Source organism: Homo sapiens, chromosome 11, assembly GCF_000001405.40.
Source record: "Homo sapiens chromosome 11, GRCh38.p14 Primary Assembly".
Classification (NCBI taxonomy): Eukaryota; Metazoa; Chordata; class Mammalia; order Primates; family Hominidae; genus Homo; species Homo sapiens.
In genome coordinates this window covers 81870968-81895795 of record NC_000011.10, presented here as the reverse complement: position 1 = coordinate 81895795, position 24828 = coordinate 81870968, and the positions used below count along the sequence as shown (strand labels likewise).

General features: G+C 35.5%; 1 long non-coding RNA gene and 1 other non-coding gene across 2 annotated transcripts in view; both read left to right on the top strand.

Annotated features, from left to right (window-relative positions):
- The window catches only part of MIR4300HG (MIR4300 host gene), a 524063-nt gene extending 508118 nt beyond the window's left edge, over positions 1-15945 (top strand). Inside the window, exons 7-8 of the long non-coding RNA NR_120571.1 lie at positions 13500-13642; positions 15629-15945. This is a non-coding gene — a long non-coding RNA (MIR4300 host gene). The remainder of the gene's footprint in view (positions 1-13499; positions 13643-15628) is intronic.
- Positions 4960-5055, top strand: MIR4300 (microRNA 4300). The gene has a single exon (NR_036186.1). It is a non-coding gene; the product is annotated as a microRNA 4300 (primary transcript).
- Positions 15946-24828: the final 8883 nt, after the last annotated feature.

The window sequence follows — 24828 nt, the reverse complement described above, 5'->3', positions numbered from 1 at the left end:
TAACCATTATTATCAGCTGTAGAAAGTCAAGGCCCTGACAGCTTTAGTCATTGCCTGAAACCACACACAGTCAATGACGACAAGAGGATTCAGCCTCAGGTCTGTCTGACTCCACAATTCACAATATTTCTACTCTTGAGTCTGCCTTCACAGGCAAAAAGAGGCAAAGTCTAGAAATAGGCCAACCAGATCGAGCCATGTCCAGACCAAGAATTGAAGAACAGACTAGAATTTGAGGTGCTGTTTCCCACAAATGGCTCTCTGACTCTCATGTGCCCTGGGCCTTGCCCTGCATGTAGTTTCAGAGATGACACTTATGACTGAGTGCTAGGAAATTGGTACATGCAGCTCAGAACCAAAAGTAGGTAACTAAGACCATGAATGAACTGAGAGTTGAAGCCCATTACTGACAGAGGGCGTATCAGAGATCTAAGTCTTAATGAAGTAAGCAAAAATAACTTTTTACTGCTAGAAACCTTTTTGAGGTTATGAGATTCTTATTCTTAAAACGACAGGAGACTTTTCAAGTACACCAGGTGCAAAGATCTTTGTTCTGGAATGTGGACCTGATATGTCTGTGACAGCTCTTTCACTCCCTTAGGCTTCTATTCAAATGTGAATGTATCAGTATGGCCTTCTCTGATAAACCTAATAACAGTAAATCAAATAAAAAATCTAATAAACCTAAATAAACATGAGACCTTCCACCTCTCATACTTGCTATCCACCTTTCCTGCTTTAGTTTTCTCTCAGACTATATTCCTATTTAAAATAGTATAGGGGTGTGTGTGTGTGTGTGTGTGTGTGTGTGTGTATGTGTAGGTGGAGAGATAGATAGATATTTGTTAAGTGGCAATCACTTTCATAGCATAGTGCTCTCATCACCCAGGCTTCCCAATCCGCTTATACACACAGTTATGAGTTCTCTCTGTGCACAATGCTCTTGGTTAAACTACACTGTAATTGACAATATATTAGTCATAATCCATAAATTTGAAATAAAGTCTTTGAACTTTAAACTTAATTCAACAATATAGGTTTAGACAAATACACTGTTCTCTGAGGAGACAGTTTGACTGAATATTTACTTAAATATACATTATTCACTTTTGAAGCAGCCCTGGTTTCTAGGCAAAAACTTTTTGAAATTTCTTTGATGTTGTAGATTGATTCTACATAAGAAACAGTAATTCAGCAACAACAGACTTGATTGTATTATATATATTATGGATATAAAGATACATAAGAAAATAAAATATAACTTTACACTCAAAGTGATAGCCATTTTGTAGGCAAAAAAAGAAATACTTACCAAGGCTAACAAAATCCCCTCTCTGTGGCTCCTGATTCCCTTCTCATTGCTCAGCACACTTTTCCCTCTTAAATTTCTTCTTTAATCCAATCACCAGTCTTGATTACCTTTCACCAGCTTTCAGTGTACAGATCATTCTTAGAACAGTGGCTCTCAAACTTTGGATCTCAGAACAAGTTTATGCTTTTAACATTTTTGAGGGGAGAGGCTTCAAGATGGCTGACTAGAGGCATCCAGTCGTCACCATGAAAAGGACCAAAAGAGCAAGTAGATAATCACACAGCAAATAGAGCATTTAACAAAGAACACTGGAATTTAGCAAGGAAGTGATAATGAACTTGTAAGGCATGAAAGGAGGGAGAAGTGAGGCAGCCAACTGGCCAAGATTTACTGGGAGCTCAGAGAGGCTTCACAATGTGGGGAAAGGGTAAGTGAGAGATACCCAGTGGTCTACAGTTCCATTACAGACTCCTGTAATCCTAGCCACAGGAGAGCTCCTTGGTCCTCTAGTGCCCTTAGACTTGTATAGAGAGCTGCCTAGATCTGTGTAACAGCATTTTTCCAAAGAGGGAGTTCATGCTGGATCCTACACACTACCTGGACCTAAAGAGCTGCAGCATGGCACCATTTGGAGAGGACAGCCCTCACTATACTACATTTTACCCTGGGTACCCTGGGGCCCAATATACCCTATTTTACCCATTCTGGACCCCCACTGATATACACCCATATCAACCCAGAGGGCTGCAGCAGTGCAATGCTGGCTGTACCCAGCAGTGTGTCCAGGTCCTCAGCACTCTGGACCATAGTGTCGTACACCTCAGGGAATATGTGGTAAAGTGCACTGAGGAGGATGCCCTCAAAACAAAGAGAGCTAAAATGTGCTCTCCCCAAAGCCTGAGAGCTGCCAGCAGGGGTTCCTACCACTGAGAGCAATGCTGCCTCCCAGCAGCAGGGATGCCAGACACCAGCATGCGCCATCAGTAGGCCTGGAGACCAACCCCATCAGGAGACTTGACGGAAGACCCAGCCTGCCTACCACTGGCACCTGGATACACCAGGCCCTGGAGATCACCCTGCCCTGCCAACCACAGTCCAACACTGTGGGTCTGAGGACAGGCCTGCACTGCCTGCCACACCACCCCTGCAATACCTGAGTGTACCATCCATGGGCCTGGGAATCCATCTGCCCCATCTGTTGCCATGGGCATGCAGATTCACGATCGGTAGGCCTGACAATAAGTCAAGCCCATTCATCGTCAGTGCCAGAGCACACTGAGTGGGGGCCTGGTAATTGCCTTGCCCCACCTACCACTGCTAGTGTCCACATACATACTCCTCCTGGGGGCCTGAGGATAGACTCACACATCCTGATACTACCACCACTGTGGGTATTCACTTACACAGACCACTTGGGGGTCTGGTGACTGGCCTATCCAGGCTGTCACTATTATTGCAAGCACTAGTGCATGCCACCTGGGAGCCCAAGTGTTGGCCTGCCACTGCCACTGTATTTGCTAATACCTCACATGCTTCCCAGTGGCTCAGTTACCCGGCTACCTGCCTGGCTTAATACTGCTACTACCAGCACCCAAGGAAGCCACCTGAAAACCCAAGAATTGGCCTGTCTGGACCCACTATCACTGGTACTCATGTATGCCACCTGTGGACCCAAGGACAGGCATGTTTGGCCCGCCACCATCACCACTGGGTTTTACCCATCCCCAGCAAAGCCTCACCACATACTCCATTAACAACTACAGCCTAAGCCACTGAGGAACTCACAGACACCACTGATGCTGATTACAGCCAAAGAACTCATACAAAGACACTACACTGCTGTACTCACCCAAAATCAAAGCTAAAATACCTTAATCAAGCAATACTATAGATATATCTTCAGGAAAAAGGCTTTTCCTACAAAAGCTCATACAAAATAATTGGAAAGAAGCAACAGTTATGCCAAATATGCACATATAAACTGAGGGCATGAAAAACATAAAAAAGGAAGAAAATGTGAGGCCTCCAAATGACCACAATAGTTCTTCAGCAACAGATTCCAACAAAGGTTTATGAAATACCTGAAAAAATCAGCCTCTATGAGATGGCTGAAAAAGAATTCAAATAATGATATTAAAGAAGCTTAGTGAGATACAAGAGAATACAGATAAACAACAAAAGAAAATTTAAAAACAATTTAGGATCTGAAATATAAATTCAACAAGTTACATAACATAAAAAAGAACCAAACAGAAATGCTTGAACTAATTCATAAATGAAATAAAAAATGCAATCCAGAGCTTCAACAATAGATCAAATCAAGCAGGGAAAAAAATTTCTGAACTTAAACAAAAAGAAAAAAAAGAATAAAAAATAATGAAGAAAGCCTAAGTGACAAAGGAACACGGTCAAGTAACGCAATATTTTATTTTTGGGATTGTGCTAAAAGGATTACAGATGGGAGATGTCATAGAAAGCCTATTTAATAATAATAATAATAATAATAATAATAATAATAATAAAGCCCTGAAAACTTTGCAACCCTTACAAGAGAGTTAGATATCCAAATGCAAAGAGCTTAAGGATCCCCAAGTAAATACAACCAAAAAAGGTATTCTCCCAGGCACATTATCATCAAACTTTCAAAAGTCAGAGACAAAGAGAGAAATCTAAAGACAGAAAATGAAAGGCATGAAGTCACATATAAAGGAATCCCCATCAAACCAATGGCAGATTTCTCAGCAGAAACCTCACAGCGGAGGTGAGAATGGGATAATATATTCAAAATGCTGAAAGGGAAATGTCAAGCAAGAATACCATACCCAGAAAAACTACCTTTCAAAAATCATGAAGAAATGGAATCTTTTCAAGACTAGGAAAAATTGAAAGAATTTATCACCTCTAGACTGGCCCCACAAAACAATGCTCAAGAGAGTCATACATCTGAAAATAAAAGGGTGACTCCTACCATCATGAAAACACATTAAAGTGTGGTACTTTAAAACTTAGTGGTAAAGCACACACACAAATGAGAAAGAATAGAACGATACTTATCAAAGAACGGAAAGAATGTAGAAAGTGAAGTATGCAGAGAGGTTGGTTAATGGTTATTTATGTAGAGTTAGATAGAAGAAGCAGTTCTAGTGTTTGATAGAACAATAGAATGACTACAGTTAACAGCAATATATATTCTGTTTTAAAGTAGAAGAGAAGATTTGAAATGTTTTGAATGTAAAGAAATAATAAATGTTTGAGATTATGGATATCCTGAATACCTGACTTGATCATTACACATTCCATGCATGTATCAGAATATCACATGTACTCCATAAATGTGTACAAATACTATATATCGCTTTCAAAAATGTAACTAAAAATAATAATTGAGGGAACCCTAAAGAGCTTTTGGTTATATGAGTTACAAAGTTTTGTGATAGAGCTGATTTTGTACTAACTCATCAGAGCTGCTTTTTAAAATTTCAGGAAATTTTGTTAGAAGTTTGTTCAACAACCAGGTCACAAATTACATTCTATACAATTACAATTAAGTAAATTTTATTAATACAAAAACCCCACAAAATATTCCAAAAATAGTAAGATGATGTCATATATGCTGGGGTACAAAAAAAAAACCCCAGTGTTTTCTATGAGTTTAGAAGAGGGCCAGCTAAATCAGCAGAGACATGAGGTGATCAAAAACCTTTTTTCAAAGCAGTGGGAGCTGGACTACTTCTGAACCAATATGGCCTATGCTAATGTAACTTAAAGATAACCACCTGGCTCAAACATAAATACTAGACGTAAATTCACCCAGAGGGGCTCAGGACTAGTAAGTAAGCTGTTGGAAGCCAAATAAAAGCATTTTCTAGCTAGAGGTAGTGCCAAAGACTTAGTCTACTCATTTCCCTTGGGTTTCTGTAAGTGAAGTACATTTCATTTCTAGTTATCTTCTATATGGTGCTGTCAATAACACCTTCCTAGCAGAGCTGTTGATTTATTAAATGAGATAATATATTAAAATTGTGATGATACATAAAATACCTCAATATTCTGTGACAGAAAACATCAGCTCTGTGTACAGGTAGACTAAGGCTTTTCTTACCTCAGGGCCCTACACAGAGCATGTGCTAATTAGTGGCTTATCAAATTATCAATTTGATATGGATCTGAGTTTTAGTGACTGTCAAGATCACCAAAAATCATGCAGTTTGTCTTGTGAAAACAGATTATGACCTGTATGAAAACTTGTATTATAACATATGCTTTATTATTAAAATACCTTTTAATTTAAAAATGCAAAACTGTGTTAAAATTTTAAATGACCATTATTATTATTACTTTGAGATCATAATCTTAACATTTTAAAAATATAATAACACAGAGTAGTTTCACTTTTATGCTGCGTTTATTCCACTTAATGTCATGTTAATATGTTAAATAAAAATATTTTCAGTGCTGCTTTAAATTGCCCTCGTTTAGTAGCAATAGATTTGGGCATCTTAATGTACTTATTGACGGTTTGTATTTTTTTTATCTTTGCTCAACTTTTCTTGCTGTCTTATATGCTTTTATTGGGGACATATTTTTGTTTATGTTAGCAGATATTCAGTTTTGTCATATATTAGGAAACATTTCTCTCTCTCGCTCTCTCTCTCAGTGTGTGTGTGTGTGTGTGTGTGTGTGTGTGTGTGTGTATGTGTTATTGTTATAGGTTGGTTATTAGGTTGGTTTAAGCTAGTATTTGGCTTAAAATTTACTTATGTTATTTTTGGCTCACCCTTATATTCTTTTCATAATTTACTTTTCAATTTTTATTTATAATTTTTTCTTTTCCTTAAAAGCCTAGAAAAGCTTTCATTTAGGCTACATTAATACATATTAACTTTTCTTTAAACTTCTATTAAATGATCTTATTTTAAGTTTATTTGGAATTTGTTGTTTTATGGTATGAGGTAGGGATTAAATGCTTTTTATTTGAATACTGGTTAACCAACTGTCATAGCACCATTTATTGAATAAACTATCATTTCTCAAGTAAATTCAAATTGTCCTTGGTACTTATAATTCTTTGGCTATTTCCATAGAAATAAGTTGAGAGATGGATTAGGTGGGTGAATAGGCCCATGTGTTATATTTGAAAGGTTAAATTGGGTCTTTGATATCCAAGTTGAGCTAGATCTTTGATTTATATATCAAATAGGAAAGCTGAAAGTATATCACCTGTGCTAGCAGATAATTGTAAAATCTATGGCAATTTCACTGGAAGTGTACCCTGATGTATTACCATATCCAAAGTTTGGAGATGAGATGCTTAGCTCTTTTAACTAGGAAACAAAGGGTGTCAACAGCTAGTTTTTTACAGTTCGCTGTACGTCCTGAAGCCTGAGAAGACTTTGTGTCACCTGTGAGTCCTAAGAATGAGTAAATCTACAAGATGCCCCTTCTTGTATTTTAGTGCCAGCTGTTTGCAGAACATTTGTGCAACCTCCAGTCTTTATCATCCTTTTAGATCACCTGAAAATAAGGGCATTTTAGGTATTTTAGAGGTGGTGGTCAAATCATTACCATGACTGTGTTGAACACTTAAGCCTGGATATGGATAAGAAAGAGGACGGACGTTGTAAGTGTTACCAAAACACCAGGAGTTTGATCTAAGTTCTGCTACTTGCCAAACAGAAAGCCAATCACTGTGACAATGAGTATTGGAAGGAAGAAGGCTTTAATTGGGTGCTGCAAGAAAGGAGATGGGAGATCAGTCTCAAATCCATCTCCCTGACCAACTAAAGTTAGGGATTTGTATAGCAAGGAAAAAATGTAACCATGAGTCGGAAAACAGGAATTAGAAAAGGGTAAGGAAGAGGAGTTGGTCAACAGGAAGCAGATGGTTGGTTATGCAATCATGACAGTTGAGGAGTTTCATGTCTCACTGTCCAACAGCAGTGACCTGCTGTGTTTCTGCTCTGTGATATTATCTGAGAGACCTGATGGTTGGTTCCCTGAGAAAGGAACTCAGGTAAGACAAAGGAAACTTTCTCAAGTTTTAAGACTGAGAGGATCAATTTCTATGCTTATTCAAAGAAACAACATCAGCTTTACGGGACAATTGGGCCGGTTTCACAAGTCCAGAATGGGGTTGTTTGCTTGCAAATTTCACTCCAATCTTGCTTGAGGCTAAGCCCTGAGTACAGCATAACCTACTCCCATCAATACTTACTCCACTGTAGATATTGTCTAAGATGAAAAGAAAGACCAGCTGTAAGGAATACAGTTTTCAGGTTAGGTTAGACTTCAGGAGAAACCCTAAACCCAGCATTTACTAGATGTATAAACTCAGGCAAGTTATTTTTCTTCTATAAGTCTCTTTGCAAGTAAAATGGAGCTCGTGATCAATATTCCATAGAATTTCTATATATGATAATAAATACACTATAGCGGAAGTCCCTAGCATGTTAAGTGTTTTATAATAGGTAGCTTAGAAAACAGTAGCCCATGTAAGTTTTTTTTAAAAAGCCAAACTCATTTCTTATTTCATTCTTTCATAATGTGGCTGAATAGTATATTATTTATAAACATTTTAGATATCTTAATGGAGACAGAAACTGCTGAGCCATCAATCATTCTGACCCTCTGGCTTACAGCAGGCAATTTATTTTAGTTCTCAAACATTCTGTGTTTAATTACTAGATTAAATTGCCTGAATTTAAATTATTAATCTGGGTTACTGAAGTAAAGTCTGAAAAAAGCAGTACTTTTGCAGACAGGTTGTTTGAGGATTAAATGAAATAACACATGCAAAGGATTTAGCATTGTATTGTGCACAAAATAAATGCTCTACAAATATTAGCTGATATCATTACTATTTTTGCTATTCTATGCTTCTGCATCTTTCCCCTGAAAGTCATAAAATATCTAGATGTCTTTGGTTGCAATTAATTGGTATTATAATCATATAATGAAAGAATATTAGTGATGGAAGAGATCTTCAAATTTATATTCTAGTTTATAGATGAAAAAGTGAGTTCCAGACAATGTCATTATATTTCAACAATATCACTCAGCCAGTCACGGTCCACACGGCGATGCTATCCAGAACTGCTGAGATTCAGAGGCCATTCAAGAATGCATTCAACTGTGATATCTAAACACACATTTAAAGATATTTTGCTTTTCATTCCTACATTCTTACAATCTTAGATTTAGATTTAGGTATTAGATCTCAAGGGAAGAATACAAGTTGATGGCAGTTCCACAAAGAAGGAATGAGAATCATGCTTGGAGTCCATTAGATCATTGATACATATCTCAGTACTTCCATATCCACAAATAGTGGCACATGAAAAAGTGCAGTCCTATGAAGAATGCCACAAGGAACTGTAAGCTTGAGACAATTAAGGTTATCCCACCAGATTAAATAGCTCTAGCAGCTAAGTTCTGACAGAAGGCCAAAGGAATGGAAAAAAGTAAGTGGAATGATGATCCATGATTATCAGCCTAATTTTTGTGACCAGCTACAGAGGCAGGGACAATCACAGTGGGTTATTGGCTTAAACCATTTTCTCTACTCTAACCGTATCCTCACACACAACTTTCTCTCTGACTCCTTTCTCTCTTTCTCTCTGTCTCTCTTTTACTCTTCCTTTCCTTTCCTTTTTTCTTCTTTCTTTCTTTCTCTCTTTCTTTCTTCTCACTCTTTCACCCAGACTTGAGTGCAGTGATTCAATCATAACTCACTGCAGCCTGAATTTCCTGGCTTAAAGGAATCCTCCTGCCTTGGCCTCTCAAGGTGCTGGGATTACAGGTGTCAGCCACCATTCTTGGCTCAGCTTTCTTATATGTAGAGCACAGACGGTGGCTAGTTTCATAATGAGATTTCAATGATATCACTGAATATCACTGAAGTGAACACCCTGCAGTGACACAGTGACTAACATGACTGTTTTCTCTTTGTGGTAACATAGATTGTATGTATGTTTCTCACTTAAAGAAAGACACTGGTAGTGGTGGGTGGCAAAATTGATACCAGATCTATTCTTTGCTATTCAAAAGACTGCTTTTACTTTTGTAGGCTCAGGAGAGGCAAGAACAGAGATTTTAGGCTATTGATTTCCCTCACCTTCTCCCTGACAGATCATGGGACAGTAGTGCCTTGATAGGGACAGTGGCTGTGTTGCTCTACCAATGACCACGGTTTCCCTCAGATGATTAAACTCTCCTGGCCACAACTTCCAGAAAGTCTTCTCCCTTCCACTGTCCTTTTGGTCATCCAGTTGAGTGACAAAGACTCCCTAAAATAGTTCATGCATGAGTGCTTAGCTGTCTCTTGTTGATTTCTTTATCTCTCTGCACAAATCTGTAAAGAGTTCTCTCTCTCTCTCTCTCTCTCTCTCTCTCTCTGTCTTTCTTTCTTTTTGGGTGTACCATCTGTTTCCATCCAGAATCCTATTAAACAGGAGTTGATTTCTAGAGAAGTGCTTGGAAATGCCATCAGAACTGGCAGTAGAGGAGGCAAGCATAGTGTAGTAGAAGAAAAGGCCTGGGATGGGATTTGGGTTCCCAGTATGTATCCCTTCTTAACCATTAATACCGCATTTCAAGTGAAAAGAGTTCTACACATATACCTATCCTCTGGCCTGACTGACATAAATTAGCCAGTTCGCTTTACTTGCTGAAATCTAATATATGCCAACATTTCAATTTCTTCCAGCATTTTTATAAACTGTAAATTTGTGTGGGAGTCTTCCAGTAATTCAGTGAAGATTCTGAGAATAGTTGCACAAAATTTTAAATTCTTCACAGTGGAAAGATACAAAGGGAAGTGATGTTTCAGGAAGATTCAGAAACCTCTTACCTAACATATTTTTTTCCCAGCGTACTCAGCAATAAACCTATTTATGATAAAATAACTAAATAACCAATTTTTGAATGTTTAAAGGTGACATTTAGAAGCATTTAACTTACCAACTAAGAGCATCTACACTTCAATTTTCATAGAAATGTCATTTCATATGAGAAATAAAAAACTTTTAAAATAAATGTTCTTTCCTGATCAGGTTGCTTTCTCTCCCAATTTCTCTTGAAAAATATGCTTTTTTTCAGAGAGATCTTTAGTGAATATCATTAAATAGGAATGAAACTAATACTTCATAATTTTGAATTATTTTTTGAAAGGGCATTTTTATTATTCTTTATGCCAAAGACAACTAATAAAAATTGTATTTTTTCTCCATGATAAAATAGAGTGATATTGTAGGCAAATATAACAGCAATAAGATGAATCTACTGTTGTGTCTTTAAGATGAAAATAAAAAGTCTATGTGGATATGTATTTATATAATCCATTTGAGCCTGAAATGAACTTTAAGAGCTCTGTCCTTGCACCCTATAAAAAAGACAAGAGGGTAGAAAGACACACAAGGACTTATTCTTAAAACGTGAGACCTGCAGGACTATCTTGTTTATTTAATATAATAAGCATCATTTATTACAGAATAAAGAATAGCATGGCTCTAAGAGATGGCCCTTCATTTATACCATAGCAGTCATTAGTATATCTTAACTTTACATGTGTTCAGGATATTCATGATCCTTTTTGTCCCCTTTCAAGATGCTGGGCCTTTAAATTACTGCTTAAGAGCTAGGAAGCAAGATGGGGCTATTAGATTTAGCATCATATATTTTTCCAAGCAGTATACACAGCACTTTTTAAATATGTATGCAGCCCGTTTTAGACTGTAATTTCTTTTCAGTTATTTATACCACTGACGGGCTTTAGATCCTTATTTCTGACTCTATAATTTAATGCCATGACACAAGCCCCAGATTTACAGTTTCCACTGCTGGCCTGAGAGTTTCATTCCACTTCCCTCTGATACGGTGAATTCAGTGGATTTGTGGAAGGGAATTTCATTAGTAGGTTTTTTTTTTCTTTGTTTCTTTACAATACATTTTTGCAGACTCAATATTAACTTATTTGTCTCCCAAGAGGTGCTCTGGCACTAGGTTTTGAAGCATATTTTGTAGTTCCTGATTTTCTACAATTGACATTCCATTGTATTTATCTACCAAAATTCACATTTCATTGAAAGCTTAATGTGAATATGTACACATCATTTAACCCTGTAAGCATTACATATCTCATCTGTAAAATGGGCATAAAATATCCATTTCATGATGTTGTTTAAAAAAATGAGTTTTTGCATGTGAAACACTGAGAACAATGTATAGCACATACCAAGAAGCAATATAACATAATGTTTAAGAGTGTTAAAGTTGGAGGCTATGCGCTGTATAATTTTAGAGATACTATTCCCTTAGATTACAACAAGAATGATGTCTTCTGGAATAATTCAATGTGGTAGCCCTGTCTTTGACCCACAGACTCTTAGAATTTATTTCAAAGAAAAAGGAGCAAACAGAGCAGATATATATAGAAAATTGTGTGCCACAGTACCATTTGAATAAATAAGCAGGAATAATTTAAATGTTCACCAAGAGATCTGTGTAAGTGAATTATGTTGCATATAAATAATGAAATACATGCTCTGCAGCTGTTACAAAAGAATGCAAAATGCAAAATGGTCTGTATTGACATTCTATATATTCTATAATTTATTGACAAAAACAAATTCCAGAAGTGTATATGTACCAAGATTCAATGTTTTCAATAATATTAAGTACATAGGGAAATGTTGAATATTGATACTAAACTATTAACAGTGATTATATCTACAGAGTGGGATTGGAGTAAATTTTCATTTGCCAAGTATCAGATTTTTGTAATTTTGTAAACAAAGAAGTTATGTATCAAAATTATTAATAAATACCTATGTAATAATATAATATTTCTAGTTAACATCCTTTAATTAATACCCACTGCCTATAGGATAAAGCTCAGAGCCTTCATAAACTGTAACCCTGCCTGACTGCCCAGTATCTTCTCCTATTATCCACCTTGCCACATATTCCCAAGTTATAGAGGATAATCATAGTTCCTATTAATATATTTTCAGATAACTTGAGGATTATGCTCATTCTTGTTTTCCCTACTTATCATGCATATCTCTGTGAGCAACTCTATTGCAATTGCCTTTTCCTATATCCATCTCTCATTATGTATTTTGATCCACTTGATAAAAGAGAACTAACAGAGTGACTAACAAATGATAGCTCCTCAGTAAATGCTTATAAAACTAAAATGAACTATACTAATATTTTGGGAGTTTTGCAGGCCAGTGTGAGCTCACACACACAAAAATATTCTAAGCAACATTATAATATAAGCTGAATCTTGACCAGCAGCAAATTTAGAGAATTAGTTGCAGCTGGGCATGGTGCCTCACGCCTGTAATCCCAGCAGTTTGGGAGGCTGAGGCAGGCAGATCATGAGCTCAGGAGTTCGAGACCCTCTTGGCCAACATGATGAAACCCCATCTGTACTAAAAGTACAAAAATTAGCTGGGCATGGTGGTGTGTGCCTGTAGTCCCAGCTACTCGGGAGGCTGAGGGAGGAGAATCACTTGAACCCAGGAGGCGGAGGTTGCAGTGAGCTGAGATCATGCCACTGCACTCCTGTCTGGCGAAAGAGCGAGACTCCGTTAAAAAAAAAAAAAAAATTAGTTGCAAGCCACGTTCCAACAGGCAACGTATGATGATTGTTAAATATATGACATTATAGTAGTTCATTGCTTTTGTGTAATTAAAATTCCAACAGCACGTTAAATGTATACAGAGATTTAAAGAAAGAGCATGACTTGTTGCATTAAAACAGCAGTGAGTAGATAAAGTTCTTGAATAGAGTTATAGGCTTCCTATAGAAACACCTGGGAGTAAAGAAAGCACCAAGAAATATAAGATTGGACAAAAATAAATAGAGAAATAACTACACAGAAATAATGCAGCATTAAAAGAAGAAAATGTAAGATAAGAGATTGAGTCTGAGATTGGTGAAGTGAGACAATGCAGCAGATGTCTAAAAGGCTCTTCTTAAGAATCTTTTAATTAAAGTACTAGCAGAAGCTTTTTATGATACTGCTTCATTTCTTTAAATGAATCTATTTAAATGGATGCTATATTATTTGGGGCTGTTTTAATTACTTATAAAGGAAATCAATTCTTGCTTCATTTGGTAATGTATCTACCTTCATTTTTCAAAAGGAGCGAAACCAAAGGTGAGATTTTCTAATTTCAGATCTAAATTTTATTGGGAACAGCTAGTTTGACAAGCATAGACCAGATGTCCAGTTGTCATTCATTCAGCAGGAGCAGCAAGATTCAATCATGTTTTTATTATATTATTTCCTGAAACTTGTGGCTGTAACAATGAAGTTTGAGGTAGGTACTGTTCACCAAAACATAGAAGAGATTCCAATTGATGCTCACTACTAATTAGTGTTCATTAAAGCATAACATACCCTAGATTGTTTCTCTTGGATTACTTATCTGTACTTGTGTATTCATTCATTTGTTCATTCATTCACTCATCCATCCAACTATCTATCTGTCCATCCATTTATTCATTTTCAAACTAAGTTTTAGGGCTGGCACTGTGATAAATGCTATTCACAGTCATTAATCAATAGTTATAGTTATTATTTAAAAGTGTATAGAATAGCAGAAGGTGGAGACATTTTCATATAAGTTAGAAAGTGCTATAATTATCTCTTGGTTTATGTGTTATAACTGAGACAGCACAAAGAACAGCTTATTAACTTTGTCTAATAAAGTGTAGGTAGTAGTAAAATTTAAGCTGAGTCTTAGAGAATATATATGGATTTTTTAAAGGAAGAAAAACAATAGCATATGCAAAACCTTAAAAGGAAGGAAGGGCTTTATGAGTTTTGGAAATAAGGAAAAGAAAAGGATGATGAGTTTGGAAGAATGGTGGGAAACAGGCATAGAGAGGTGGATTGATTTCTGGTTATGCAGACCTTACTGTAGCATGTTAAGGAGTTATATTTTATCAATGATTCAATACCTTATTAAGAGGAAGGATTTGATTAGATTAGTGTTTTAGAAAAATTAATTTGCTAGTCATGAGGGTGAACTACAGTGGGGTAAGATGAAAGCAGGACAACCAAATAGGTGGCTTTTATAAAAGCTTAGGAAACAGATAGAAAAGCCCAGACTAAGGAAAATGTAGTATTGCACTTAATTTCTCTTAGTCATTAGGTTTTTCAACATAAACCAAACCAAAACAAAATCATTGCAAAGAATAGAGCTCTGTTCTTATAAAGTGTTTCCCTTCAGTTGTGGTCTAATTAATTAATTGTTCCTGAAGTTTAATTAAATAGTCATGGATATTTTTATAAAGGATGTGGAACAACCAATTAAAATATTCATCTTGGCCTTTCAAAATTAATTATCCCTTAAATGCCACAGTCTAACCTATATCACAGATATTTAAGCATAAGGGGAAAAATGTTTGGATTTGAGTGAATCATAGTATTTAGTCTATCATATTCTCATAGGGAAAATGAAAGGTAATTTGAGATATACTACAGATCAGTGCTATTCAATAAAACTATTGGTGACGATGGAGGTGTTCTCTGTCGTTACTGTCCAACATGGCAGTTCTAGCCATATGTGGCTATTGAGCACTTAAAATGTGCCTAGTACAATGGGGGACATGAATTCTTGATGTTTTTAAAATTGTATTTAATACATACAAACTTAAACTGAAATTTAAATAATCACATGTACCCTAGTGGCTACCTTGTTGAACAGCACAACTCTATAGACAGTGAAAAATATGCAGACTCAGTTGGACAATCCTGCAATGTGTGGCTATAAAGAAGGCAGTGCAGGGCAGAAGATATAAAGTAGGGCAGGGGCTCAGGATGGAATTTTATTTCAGCGCAGATAATTAATGAGCTGCAGATATGAATTTGCACATAAACGTAAGTTCTCTCACTTGTACTATGAAGTGATTGGCTGAATAATCATGACTATCCATTTAAGCTTCATGTTTCTATAGAAGTAAGTGATTGTCACAGTTCAGCTGAATAAGATCTTGTTGGAGAAAATGGCTTATTTTCCACACTTTTCTTCATTTTTATAAAACTGGTCTAGGTGTAAATTTGAGATGCAAAAGTCAAGGATATATATTTTGAGTAAGTTGAAAATGCAAAAGCAAATATGTACATTTGCTGAAAGCTATTTGTTTTCAATCTAGTAATTTATATACGCCTTACTTTGTAATTTTCACTTAGTGTCTTTCTTTTACTACATGTTACCTTCTATGATAGGCAGCCTCAATATGACTTTCAATTATCATCACTTCCTGAAATTCATACCCTTGTTTTGTCTTCTTCCACACAGGATTGGTCTGTGTAAGTATGGCAGAAGTGATGTTAAGTCGCTTATGAGATTAGGGTATAAAAGACTAAGGCTTCCATGCTTCCATCTTGGTCTCTGTCTCTCAGAGAACAGTCATGTGAATGATTCTTCTTGAAAGTAAATCTTCCAGCCCCAGTCCAGTATTCAAATGATCCAGCAACATTGCAACTTATGAGAGACCTTGAGCCATCCAGGTAACATGCTTCCAAATCCTGACCCTTAAAACCTGTAAAATAATAAATGTGGTTTTAAACTCTTAAGTAATTTGTTACATAGTAATAAATAGCTAATACACCGTCCTGACTATTGTCATTCTTTACAATATTTCATAAGCACTAGTCATTAAACTATCTGTAGTCCCTAAAATATTTATCAATCCTTTAAGCCTCTATAAGTTCACAGATTTTTATGTGTAGATATTTATTCCTCTGTCAAATATCTAATGCAATATTTTCTCTTTCAAATTTGGCTAGTGTCCTTTCTAGAGAATTTTATGACCTCACCAATCTGAATTAAGCACCATCGCCATTCCTGGTTTCATAGAAGCAGATGCCCATGTCTAACTTAGCACTAGTCACACTGTTATGTTCACAAGATTGTAAGCTACTAAGATTGGGACCTTAGTTTTATTAAGTTTACATAATGTCAGATACATTGCCTAGCAAAAAAGAACTTGCTTAATTATTGTTTTTTAAAATTAAATACTAACAGAATGAATGGTTAAACACCATTAAATAAATATGTTAGTTCAGATTATATATTGATGTATGGTCATTAGTTTCCTACAAAAGAGAAATTTCATGTTTTTCTATCTAAATGTATAATGCTCCCTCCAGCCCTACAGACATACTATTTTTTTCAAAAGAATAAAGAGACATGAACAATATAAATTCAAACTGCAAGACGGTTGTGTCACATTTCCTGGACTATGTTGTAGCCTCCGTTTTGTAGCTGCACCTCCAGGATAACTTGTGAATCCTTAGGGTCATGGAAAGAAGCCCAGTAAGTGGATTTCTTTCTGAACAGGGCTGTCTTTGTTTCATCATGGAGCACCTTGTCCTCTTCATCCAGCATTATGATTTGCTCTTGGCCTTTCTCTGGGACACAATATGTGGCTCATAGTTCTGAATTAGAGGAGAAAGATGGTTTTAGCATTATAGTTGCAAATATAAAGCATTTCTCTGGATTTAGCCTGTTCTTTACCAGGGAGCTTGAAGTACCTAAGGAGGAAGTCATTACATATTAAACTCAGAATAAAACACCTAAATTCCAGGACATGACTAAAGTGTGTTGGTGACAAAAACTTCTGGAAAACTAACTCTGCCAATTCAGAAAATGTTACTGGCCTCATAAAGTAATGGTACAGATCTATAGACAATTTAAATTGCCAAGGTGAGCAAAGATTACATTTGAGAGTTTGGGGATGACTGGGCATGGTGGCTCACGCCTGTAATACCAGCACTTTGGGAAGGCAAGGTGGGCAAATCACCTGAAGTCAGGAGTTGAAGACCAGCCTGGCCAACATGATGAAACCCTGTCTCTACTAAAAATACAAAAATTAACTGGGCATGGTGGCGGGCACCTGTAATCCCAGCAAGAGTGAAACTCCATCTCAAAAAACCAAAAAAAAAAAAAAAGAGAGAGAGAGAGTTTGGAGAGTTTGGGGAGATTATGTAATGATTGTTACCCCAGTGATGTAAAAGTTTCATTTTATTAAAGTATTAATTACTTATATGGCTTTATATCATAGGCAACAAAGGGTTAGATCACTTATTTGGGTGGGCATATTACACATTAGATGCAGTAAGTGGAGCGTTGCATTACAGTGGAGCTGTTGCAATCTTTTGGATATTTTCTTGAATTGTTTTAGCTTCTAAATTATAAATACAAAGTATTAGGAAACTGTCAGCAGAGATTAACTCCTTTTCCCTCACCAGGTTAATTTGAAACCTACCTGCTCTGCAATGTCTTCAACAGACAGTGTCTTTTATTGAAATATACTCAAATTACAAAATGCATACTCATAAAATACTGAGTGAAGTGAAAAAATTTACTTTAATATTTTAATAAAATTTTTGATATATATAAAAAAGAAAACCTTAAAAAGCAGTTTTGCTATGACTTTATCCTCAACTACAGAGTTGGAGAAGCTCAAGATATCTCCATAATCAGCTCAGAAAATCATTATGGGGTATCTTATTCACTGTGATAAAAAATGTACCTAGCTATTATTGATATCTGTTATTATTTTAGCAAGCATTGGGAAACTTCCCCTTTCATTTCTAATGTCTGTGGTAGTGTTTTTTTGAGTGTTCGGCACCAGAGGTTTTCAAACCCATATGCACTATAACAAAATATAATTTTCTTGTTTCCCTGACTCTTACAGACTTCATAAATACAGATATTTCTACTTAAAATTCAAGTTCGTGAAGAATATAGGCTGAAGGGAAAAAAAAGATAAACATCAACTCTACTGCAATGCTTCTCAAAGTGCTCTAGTCCAGAAACACAGCAGAGAAGTGTAAAGACATGTCTTGAAGCAAACATTTATAAGATATTGTCTGTTCTTTATTTATTTTGTTTTAATATAAATAATAATTTCCTTAGATTACCTATCATTGGATAAAATCGAGCCTTCAAGACCAGAAACCATGTTTATCATATAATTTTGACATTTCTGCACACTTACCAATAAAGCTCATTTGAAAAAATCTCTTTCCCTTTGAATAGCAAAAAGTGCTTTTATTCTATCTTTTTGATTCTCTATTCCACAAGGATCAGTTCCTTTTGGTAAAACAACTTGTGCCTTTTTGCGAGTTTATGTATTATGTACTTCGACTTGAGCCTTAATATATGAAAACCTACATGTGTACAGGCTTAAGCTTCCATCTTGAAACCAGAAATACTCAGAAAAAGTGTTTTTGGTAAATTCTAGATGAAGCATTTAATCACAGCCATTCCTAATAAGTGAAATAAAATTGTACCACATAAATTAGTAAAAAAAGGAAAACAAAGTTCTACATAATAAAAATAAGCCCACACTTGACACAACCTTTACTTATTTATCAGCATTGGCCATAATAGATGGGGATGCTCAGTGAATGTTCAAATAACACACAATGGGACTACATATTTGGGATTCAAATTTTCCCCACCAATAAGGAAAATAATAAAAGTGAAAATATCTATAGAGCGTCCTCTAAATAATGTCACAAGGCCATCAGCTTTCAGTGAAAGTTGTTATACTGCCAGTTATTTGAAAAGTCTCTGCTTGACTGACTTCCTTCACAGAATATAAGTATATATTTCTTGTTTGTAGAAGCTGGTTGGCATTCCATCATTCCCTGGCATATCTCATTGTCGCTATAATAATGTAATAATTTAACAGCACAATATATTAGAGAGATACAGTGGCTACTCACTGCTTAAAGTTTTACAAAGGGTACTTTTCTTCTGCTTTGAAGAAGGTTTGTAACAGTATTAAGAAAAATTATCCAAGGTTCGGTAGAAAAATGAGAATGCATTTTAAAACAAGATTTCAGAGGCTCTTGTCATTTTCTTCTTAACGTTACTTGTAAGAGGCACATGGCATATAGTGGAAGAAGCATTGGTTTTAGTGTAAGAAGATATGGAATTGAAATAAATCTGCGTGATCTGGGGCATAACTGTTGGCTAATTGCAGCCTTTTTCTAACCCACATTTCCTACAGATAAGAATAAATATACATTGGTAAACAAGAAAGATATGGCTTCTCTCATAAGGGAGATTATATTCCTAGCAGGCAAGAGAGAAAGAGAAACAGTGGTTTACAATATTATATTCCTTAGGAACAGGAGGAAAGAATGAAATAGGGACATTTAGCAGGGTGACATAATCAGTCAGTGAGGACAGCCATTCCTGAAGAAGTAACGCATAAGCTGAATCTTAAAACACAAACAGATGCTAAGCAAATAAGGACAAGAATAGGGAAAATCAGAATAAAATAAATCCCTGCACCCTTTAAAAAAACCACCTATTTATCTATAGCCATGGTATCAAGTAGGCATCAGAAATATGATGTAAACTCTTTAAATCAATCATTGAGGACAACTCAGTTCAGTGAGTACATTCTCACAAGCTAACAAATCAATGTCAGTTCCTCACAATTAAAAGTCAGATATCAGTCATAAACGCATTTCAATTAAAACTCTTTTGGCTGCCAACTAATCAAAACTAGCTCCACCCAACTATTAAATATTTAAAGATAATATCAACCAATGTTGGCCCCTGAAAATCCACAAATCCCTGAATTTTACATATTCCTACAACCCTACATAACATCAGCACTCTGCTCTCCTCAGAAATTCTGTGCCTAAGCAGCATATCAATCCCTTACTAGAAGAAGCAAACATTCAGGTTTTTAATTTCCTCAGATGCTGAATATTAGCCTCATGATCCTTTGTCAGGGGTAAATGTAGTATACTTGAGGAATTGAATAAAAGTCTAGCTAAGTTAGATGGAGGTAAATGTAGGGAAAATTGGCTGAAAGGTCAGAAAGCAACAAGATTGTGGAAGATTTCAGAAGCCACTCAAAAGGTTTTGGACTTCATCTTAGAGCAATGGGAAGTCACTGAAAAATTTCAAACTGTGAATGGCATGATCATGGTTCCTTCTTATAATAACTCTGGTTGTATTGTGGAAAATGGTATAAAGAGAGTAAATGTAGAAAGACCAAATAAGAGGATGTGGTAGTAGTTGGGATGAGAGCCAATTATAGCTTGTACTGGTATCTAGAAAAGGAATGGAAAGAAGAGGAGGAATTAAAGAAGCACGTAGAAGAATAGAGTAACTTAATACTTACTGGATGTTTTAGAGTGATGACAAAAATAGCAGGTCAGCCTGCTGGCCTGTGCACCTGGGTGATTGATGTCACCATTCTCTGAGGTTGGAAATACTTGCAGAAAGAGTACTTTTGTGAGAAAAATGATAATATAAGTTTGGTACAAATCAAGTTTAAAAAATATGAGGAAAAACTAAGTGGAGCCATTTGGTAAGAAGTTGGAGCTTAAAAGAGAAGGCTGGATTGGAGATGAAAATTTATGTATAATTGAAATTTTTAAATGTTCTCATTTTCAGCTCCAAAATTCTGTAATAGTTTATTTTCTTCTGGATAAATGGTATCTGGTGATATGCCTTAATAATTCCTAACATGTTCTTCCATCAAGTATGTAGCCATTCTCTTTCTCTTTCTCTTTTGTCTTTTTAAATTACATCAGTTTCCTGTGGAGGCTGTAGCCGAAATCCGAGTAGACACTATATCTGATTGAGCCTGTGGCTGAGCCTCAAAAGACTGACAGATGTGATGGAGTGCTGGTTCTCTCAGTGCTCTGGTGGTTGGAGGTTTCAAGTCATTCAAATTAGGTTCCCAGAGTCTTGTTGATTGATCACATAGTAGTGAACATATGTAGTTTTCTACATGCTCCAATATGGTCAGACATTTGGGAAGGACTGCAAAGGCTATTTAATTGAAAGTTCTTCATTCTTTAATATGCTTTCCTTGTCTGGGTCCTAAATTGGAAAGGGCCCGAATTCCTGGATTAAGTAGAAAAGGAAAACACTTTGTTTAGTGGAGACAAACCAGAGAAAGAGAAAGGAATTCTGATAAGAGAGCGAAAGACAGAAAGGTCACAGAAACTGTATAATCTTGATTTGGTGCTTCTCTATGAACCTGTTAAACTTGCATAAGATGTAAGAAAGCATATGCTGCATGGTGTGAAAGCATTATGTTAACATTGGACAATAGGCTTAATTTTGAGCAGGCCTATTGCTAAGGAACATGATTAACACTTGGCAAAGAGAGTTCTGAAGAAGAGCTATGAGGAATTTAAATATGAGAGATTTGAAGAAATCACAGAGCTTTAGACTTTCGCAGATTATGGAATCAGAAATTCAATATTAGTTGACGTAGACCTAAGTTGTGCTTCTCTTCCTGTCTTGTTTTCTTTTGTTTGTTTGCTTGTTTAACTTGGCGTTTAGAGCTGAGCCCAAGGAAAAAGGCTTAACTTTATTATAGCAGTTAATCTATTCCCCAAATGATTTAGTCTTTTTTTTGTGCAATAACAGGATATTGATACCAATATTGTTTCCAGTCACAAGGAGCTCTCTAAGTGTAAAAGGCTTGTCTTTTTAAATTGCAAGATGTTCTTATGAAAGCAAAACCTTTGGGAGGGATTTAGAAGTCTCCCTGTCCAGCTCATCTCATGCTCATTTGGTATAATAGCTCAAAATTCTCATCAGAGCTCTTTTCTAGGATATCTTATCTCTTGGGTGTATCGCCTAAGGGTGTGAAAAGCCTGAAGTCTTATTATCTTAGAAAAACCCCCAAATAGAGCCCTCAAAAAACTTTCCCAGTAGAGTAAAAGTCTTTCCTCTGAACTGTAAATAATAAGGAAACAGGTAAACCTACTTTTCTTTGAAAACTACAAAATAAGTAAAAGAGGTTTACCTTACTGAAACATGGAGAATTCTGAATTCCAAAAGGAGAATTATAGATCACAAAATGTATTAAATAAGAACTTTTTAAAATTAACAATTTATATTTAATGTTAAATACTATTTTAATAAGATATTATCCTATGACCATTTTGAGGATTTTAGTGACAGATTAAGGTTTTAAAACAAAATCAATGTGTTGACATGTATAAATACTTCTTTTTAAATATGCACTTCTAAGTGAGACTTCTGCTTTCTATAAGGGAATACAAATAATATAAACTGTCTCATTTATATGACCTAAGAAAATGTTTCTTCTCTCTTTTCTTTTTTTCTGTAAGTTATTACCTATTTCAAAATTATGTCAGTCTAAGACCTTGAAGAAACCATCCACACCTCTATTGAAACTTTGTACTATGAAATCCTTTCTGAAGTACTCCCTCTTCTTCCTTTATTGACTTTTTTCACCTTTAATTTAATACTATCCCCAGTTACCTACCATTTGATCAACAGTATCTTGTGGCAACTAAGTCACTGTGCTGTTTTTTCTCAACTCAGACTGTCTGGAGCCTTGTTCCATCAAGCAGTAACTGTGCACTTAACACGTTAATAGTCTTAACACAAAAAGATAGAGAGAAATAGAGGTCTTTTGAGGTGGGAATCATTAAAGATAGACACACAAATGCATTCGGTGCCAGATTTGATTACCTCAAACAAGTGAAATTAAAGTAAACATTTTATCATCTCCAGTTACAGTTTCTCTCCTGGGGATAATTAAGACAAATGAGTAGAAGGCACTAATGGCAATCTTTACTTAGTTCTAGAGACAAATGAACAATGTACAACCAAAATAACTTTAGACCAGATGTAGTTACCATTCAGTTATTATATCTAATTATTATATAAACTGGAATCATCCTTTTATTCTCTCTGCTATCCCTTGCAAAATTGCAGACATCACTTAAGTCCCACTTTGTACATGAAGTCCTCTTTGAGTATAATGCAGTTTATCGGGGGGACACCCTGGGTTAGAAAGAAACAATCAGCTTTGAGATTCAGATAACCTGAAGTCTGCAACTTGCTAACTAGGTGCTGTTGAAACACCCAGTTAACTTCTCTGAGCTTAAATATCTTTGTCTAAACTATAGAAAATATGATAAACATTAACACCACAGATGTTTGTGAATAGCAAATGTAATAATGTAAGGGACAGAACTCAGTGAACGGTAAAGCAGTATATAAAATTTAATCATCAGTTACTGACTTCCCACTTGTCTAATCTCCAGTGTTTTATTATAGAAGAAACATAGAAGAATGTAGAATTATTATTGTAATGATTATCATTGTAAATTCATAATTCAACTGAAAAACATTTACTTAGAAACTTTTATATGAACCATATAGTCAAAATCATTTGAGTGCTCACTAGGTGCTTTTCACTGTTCTGGGGTCATTTACTTGGGTTGTATGTACATTATTTACATTTCTGTTCCAAATGTTGATTACAGCATGTGTTATTTATTCAGATGCTCAATTATTTGTTAGAAAATAGAAATATTAAAGAATAATAAAAATGTGTTTTGTTCATTGATTCCAGCAATAATAATAGGCAAGTAAAATGTATTTTAAGTTACTAAGAGGAAAACAAAAATTCTGAGAGGTATAACAATGTGCTCAAGATTACAGAGATAGTTCTCAGTGAGAAAGTATTTATTATATCAAATTAATTGAGTAAATTGTTTGCCAAGATATTAAGTTGTTTTGATATGGTATACTTTTCTACTTATAGTAATATTTTTCTAATCAATGCATAATTCAATTGTGTATAAAATTTATGGAAATATGCTAGTCCTCAGTTTTGCATCCAAAATTAATACCTTGAGTTTACATGAGATACTACACATGATCTATAATACCTATGGATAGCTTTGGCTTTGGACCGGAGCATTTTCACATTAAAGAAAATCCATGAAATTTCTCCATCTTTGGCAGAGTTTCTCATGCATGTGTTTAATATATGAACACCTCATGACCTTTTCAATAGAGAGCTTTATAGCACGTAAATGAAGGCATTGCTTTTCTGCCTCTACATTGACATGCTGAGTTCTAAATACAAACATGGCATGGTCAGAATGAGTGGTAAAGTTTAGCTAATTTTTTAAAATGCTAGTTGTAAAACATGGTATCCCTTTGATCATCCTTTTCTTCTTTTTAAAAATTAATTCTTATGTACCAAGTGCCTTCCCACTAAACCAGAACCTTCTGTCTCTCCATAACTCCTTACTGTGACATCCACATACCAGGTCTTTCTACATCAAATATTCCTAGCCTTGAACCTTTTCTTATTCTCTTAAAATACTGACTGACTTATGCCCCTATATCCAAGATTTTGTTGTGATAGTGCTAACAGAGTAGAGTTGGTCATGGGCATATCTTTTAGCTTATTTACCTTGCTTCTTCAAGTGTATAATAAAAGATGGAGTTGAACTTGGTGATTTCTAAGCTTTCTTTTATTTAAATGTCACTGTGCATGTATAATTCCACTTTTGAGCTTGTCTTAATGTTTCTCACATGGACCTTTTTTTTTCATTGATGAGCAGTATAATAGAATTTGAAAGGAGTCTAGGCTATTTGCATCATTGACTCACCAGTCATCATGTCTCCACTTGAAAATTTTCAGCAACAGGAAGTCTTATTCCTTTATGAGAAAG